The sequence below is a fragment of the Homo sapiens genome (genome assembly GCF_000001405.40).
Source record: "Homo sapiens chromosome 1 unlocalized genomic scaffold, GRCh38.p14 Primary Assembly HSCHR1_CTG7_UNLOCALIZED".
Classification (NCBI taxonomy): domain Eukaryota; kingdom Metazoa; phylum Chordata; class Mammalia; order Primates; family Hominidae; genus Homo; species Homo sapiens.
Window position 1 is genome coordinate 90,994 of NT_187367.1, and position 5,891 is coordinate 96,884.

Here is a 5,891-nt window from a genome sequence, read left to right on the forward strand (position 1 = left end):
CATTTCATCTCGTTTCATCTCATCTCATCTCACCTCATATCATCATTTCATCTCATCCTTTCATTTCATCTCATCGTTTCATCTCCTCATTTCATCTCATCTCACCTCAGCATTTCATCATTTCACCTCATCATTTCTTATTTCATCTCATTTTATCTCATTTCATCTCCTATATCAATTCAATTTCCTTTCATTATTTCATCTCATTCATTTCATCTCATTTCATTACATCTCATCATTTCCTCTCATCATTACATCTCATCTCATCTCATCATTTCATCATTTCATCTCATCATTGCATCTCATCATTTCATCTCATTTCGTCTCATCATTCATCTCGTCATTTCATCTCATCTCATCATTTCCATTTCATTATTTCATTTCATCATTTAATTTCATCATCTCAATTTCACCTCATTTCATTATTTCATTTTTTCGTTTCATTATGTCATTTCATTTCATCTCATTTCATCTCATCATTTCATTTCATCTCATCTTTTCATCTCATCATTTCATCTTATCATCTCATCAACTCTTTTCATCTTATCATTTCATCATGTCATCTTATCACGTCAGTTCATCTCGTATCTGCTCATCTCAGTTCAATTTCATGTCATTATTTCATTTCATTATGTCATGTCATCTCATCTCATCATTTCATCTCATCACATCTCATCATTTTATCATTTTATTTCATCATCTCATCATTTCATCTCATCTCATTTCAATTTTATTTATTTATTTCAATTTCATTTCATCTCATCAGTTCATCTCATCATTTCATCTCATCATCTCATCTCATCTCATCATTTCATCTCATCATTCATCTCATTTCATATCATTTTATCTCATCTCATTTCATCTCATTTCATCATTACATTTCATCTCATTTTATGTCATCATTTCATGTCATCATTTCATCACATCTCATCTCATCATTTCATCTCATTTCATCATTTCATCTCATTTCAACTCATTGCATCTCATCTCATTTCCATTTCATTATTCCATTTCATCATTTCATTATGTCATTTCACCTCATCATATTTCATCTCATTTCATCTCATCATTTCATTTCATCTCATCATTTCATCTCATTTTATCTCATCTCATCTCATCATTTCTTCTCATCTCATCATTTCCATTTCATTTTCATTTCATTATTTCATCATTTCATTATTTCATCTCATTTCATTATTTCATTTCATTATGTCATTTCATTTCATCTCATTACATTTCATCTCATTTCATCTCATCATTTCATCCATCATTTCATTTCATTTCATCATTTCATCTCATGATTTCATCTCATCTCATCATCTCATTTCATCTCATTATTTCATCTCATTTCATCTCATCTCATTTCATCATTTCATTTCATCATTACATCTCATCATTTTATCTCATTTCATCTCATCCCATCTCATCTCATCATTTCATATCATCTCATCATTTCATCTCATCATTTCATCAAATCTCATCTCATCTCATTTCCATTTCATTTTCATTATTTCATTTCATCATTTCATTTCACTATTTCATTTCATTTCATCTAATTTCATTTAATTCATTATGTCATTTCATATAATCTCATTTCATTTCATCTCATATTTTTGATATCATTTTTTCATCTCATTTCATCTCAATTCATCTCATTTCATCTCCTCATCTCATTTCCTCCTTTCATTACAACATTTCATCTCATTTCTTCTCATCTCATTTCAATTTCATTATTTCATCTCATTTCATTATTTCACCTAATTTCATTATTTCATCTCATCTCATCTCAGTTCATCTGATCTCATTTCATCTCAGCATTTCATCTCATCATTTTTCATCTCATCATTTTTCATCTCATCATTTCAGCTCATTTCATTTCATTTGATCTCATCATTTCAGCTCATTTCATGTCACATCTATTCATTTCATCATTTCATTTCAACATTTCATCATTTCATTTCATCATTTAATTTCATCATCTCAATTTCACCTCATTTCATTATTTCATTTTTTCGTTTCATTATGTCATTTCATTTCATCTCATTTCATCTCATCATTTCATTTCATCTCATCTTTTCATCTCATCATTTCATCTTATCATCTCATCAACTCTTTTCATCTTATCATTTCATCATTTCATCTTATCACTTCATTTCATCTCGTATCTTCTCATCTCATTTCAATTTCATTTCATTATTTCATTTCATTATTTCATGTCATCTCATCTCATCATTTCATCTCATCACATCTCATCATTTTATCATTTTATTTCATCATCTCATCATTTCATCTCATCTCATTTCAATTTTATTTATTTATTTCAATTTCATTTCATCTCATCAGTTCATCTCATCATTTCATCTCATCATCTCATCTCATCTCATCATTTCATCTCATCATTCATCTCATTTCATATCATTTTATCTCATCTCATTTCATCTCATTTCATCATTACATTTCATCTCATTTTATGTCATCATTTCATGTCATCATTTCATCACATCTCATCTCATCATTTCATCTCATCATTTCATCATTTCATCTCATTTCAACTCATTGCATCTCATCTCATTTCCATTTCATTATTCCATTTCATCATTTCATTTCATTATGTCATTTCACCTCATCATATTTCATCTCATTTCATCTCATCTCATCATTTCATTTCATCTCATCATTTCATCTCATTTTATCTCATCTCATCTCATCATTTCTTCTCATCTCATCATTTCCATTTCATTTTCATTTCATTATTTCATCATTTCATTATTTCATCTCATTTCATTATTTCATTTCATTATGTCATTTCATTTCATCTTATTACATTTCATCTCATTTCATCTCATCATTTCATCCATCATTTCATTTCATTTCATCATTTCATCTCATGATTTCATCTCATCTCATCATCTCATTTCATCTCATTATTTCATCTCATTTCATCTCATCTCATTTCATCATTTCATTTCATCATTACATCTCATCATTTCAACTCATCTCATTTCAATTTCATTTCAATTTCATTACATTTCATAATTTCCTTTATTTCATTTCATTTCATCTCATTTCATTATTTCATTTCATTATTTCATTTCATCTCATTTTTCATCTCATTTCATCTCATCATATCATCTCATCGTTCATCTCATTTCATCTCATTTTATCTCATTATTTCATCTCATCTCATCTCATTTCAATTTCATTATTTCATATCATTTCATTATTTCATTTCATTTCATCTCATCATTTCATCTCGTTTCATCTCATCATTTCATCATCTCATCATTTCATCTCATTTCATCTCATCTCATCTCCTTTCAATTTCTTTTCAACTTTGTCATTTCATCTCATCATTTAATCTCATCATTTCCACTCTGCATTTCATCTCAAAATTTCATCTCATCATCTCATCTCATCTCATCATTTTGTCATTTCATCTCATCATTTCATCTCATCTCAAGTCATCTTATCATTTCATCTAAGTGAAATGACATAATGGAATCATGAAATGAAATGGATAGGATGCCCTCAGTGATGTTAAATTTAAAAATTGTTTCTTTTCATGCATGCATTTTTATATTTATATGTATTTATATTTATATTTACTAATATTTCTTTTTACTTATTTTTATTTATATTTTTACTTATTTCTTTATTCATAGACAAGGTCCTGTTCTGTGGCCTAGGCTGGAATGCAGTGGTGCATTCACAGTTCGCTGCAGCCTCGAGAAAACCTCCCACATTAGCCTCCCAGGTAGCTGGGACCCCAGGTGCGCACCACCACACCTGGTTAATATTTTATTATTTGTAGAGATGGAGTCTTGCTATTCTGCCCAGGCTGGTCTCAAACTCCTGGGCTCAAGCAATCCTCCTGCACTGGCAACCCAAAATGCTGGGATGACAGAAATGAGCCACAGTGCCCAACCTATTTATTTATTTATTTAATAAGGACAAGGTCTCACTATGTTGCCCAGGCTGGTCAACTCCTAGACTCAAATAGTTCTCCAAACTTGGCCTCTCAAAATGTTGGGATTACAGGTATGAGCCACCATGCCTGGCCTAAAAATAGTATTATATTTTTGTGTCATATAATTTTCAATTAGGTAATATGAATATTCTGTACAGGAAATACGCCCTTAATTACATAGGAATAAACGTTTGTTACACTGAGAAAAATCTAATAGAGCTAAAAATAAAAATTAATTTGGAAAGGTCATTAGATACTGATACATTCTTACGTTTATACATTCTTTCATATATTCATATATTCTTTTAACAGTATCAATGGTTTGGAGTTATGTGTACAAAACCATGACCTATATGTAATACAACTAATAACAGGCATTTACAATTCAAGGCATATTATATACAAAGCTTAACTTCTTATCAAAATATTTTGTTTTTTTTCTTTCTGTTTTGGCAGATACTATGAACACTACATTCAACTCACAGACACCATGGAGTCCTTACTAAGCATAAAGTACTGTGAAAGGCCAGGGCTAGGACAGAACTGAGACAGGGCCAGGGATAGGACAGAACAGGGGCAGGGTCATGGCCAGAGAAAATCCAGGGGCAGGGTCACGGCCAGGGACATGAGAGGACCAAGGCCAGGGCCAGAAGCAGGGCAGAACCAGGGCCAGGGCAGGGACATGGCAGGGCCAGGGCCATGGCAGGATCAGGGTCAGCAGAAGGCCAGGGCAGGGCTAGGGTAGCGCAGGGCCAAGGCAGGGCAGGGTCAGTGTAGAGCAAGGAACGGGCCAGGGTATGGCAGGGCAGGGACAGGGAGGTCCAGGGCCAGAGTCAGGTCCAGGACATGGACAGGACAGGGCCAGAAATATGGCAGGACCAGAAAGGGGACAGGGCAAGGGCAAGGCCAGAGAAGGACCATGGAAAAAACATGGCCAGGGAGGGTCCAGGGCAAGGGCAAGGCCAGGGCAGAACCAGAGCCAGAGCAGGCCAAAGGCAGGGCCAGGGCAGGGCAAGGTCAGGGTAGGGCGGGGCCAGTGTAGGGTGAGGGTAGGGCCAGGGTGAGTTCAGGGCCAGGGCAGGACTAAGATAGCACAGGGCCAAGGCAGGGCCAGGGCAGGGCCAAAAGGAGGGGCCAGGGCCAAGCATGGCCAGTGTCAGACCTGGGGATTGTCAGGGCCAGGGTCAGGGTCAAGGCTGGGCCAGGGACAGGGCCAGAGCAAGGGCAGGGCCAGGGAGAAAGCAGAACCAGAGAGGATCCAGAGCAAGGCCAGGGTCAGGGCAGAACCAGGACCAGGATAAGGCAAAGCCAAGGCCAGGGCAGGGCAAGGCCAGGGCAAGGCAAGACCAGGGAAGGGCAAGGCCAGAGTAGAAAAGGCCAGTGTAGGGCCAGGCCAGGGTAGGAGAAGGCCATGGTAGGGCCAAGGCCAAGGCAGGGCAGGGCTAGGGTAGCACAGGGCATGGCCAAAAACAGGGCAGGGCCATAACAGTGGCAGGACTAGCAACAGGGCCAGGGCAAGCGCTGGACCAGAGCATGGTGGGGACAATACAGGGCCAGGACAGACGATGGCAAGGCAGGTCCAGGGCCATTTCATGGACTCAGTAGGCCTGGGGTCAGGCCAGGGCAGGGCAAAGGCAAGACCAGGGAGAAGGCAGGGCCGGGGCCAAGGCAGTGCCAGGGCAGGGCAGGACCAGTGCAGGGCCAATGCAGGGTGAGGGCAAGGCCAGGGCATGGAAGGGCAGGGCAGGACCAAGGAAGGGCCAGGAGAGGGCCACGGCAGGGTCACGGCCAGAACAAGGGTATGGCTGGGGTCAGGAATGTGGTAGGACGAGGGCTGGGCCCAGGCTGGGACACGCAGGGCAGAGCATGATCTGTGCAAGGCACGGCCAGAGCCAGGCCATAGAGATGGGAGGGCAACACCAAG

At 38.1% G+C, this 5,891-nt stretch overlaps 1 protein-coding gene across 1 annotated transcript; it reads right to left on the reverse strand.

The window, feature by feature from the left end:
- Positions 1 to 4,401: 4,401 nt before the first annotated feature.
- On the reverse strand, positions 4,402 to 5,891 carry LOC124905320 (methyl-CpG-binding domain protein 6-like; the record flags this gene model as incomplete). Its single annotated transcript, XM_047442796.1, has 1 exon — positions 4,402 to 5,891. A coding segment is annotated over one exon (768 nt), but the record flags the coding sequence as incomplete, so codon positions are not given.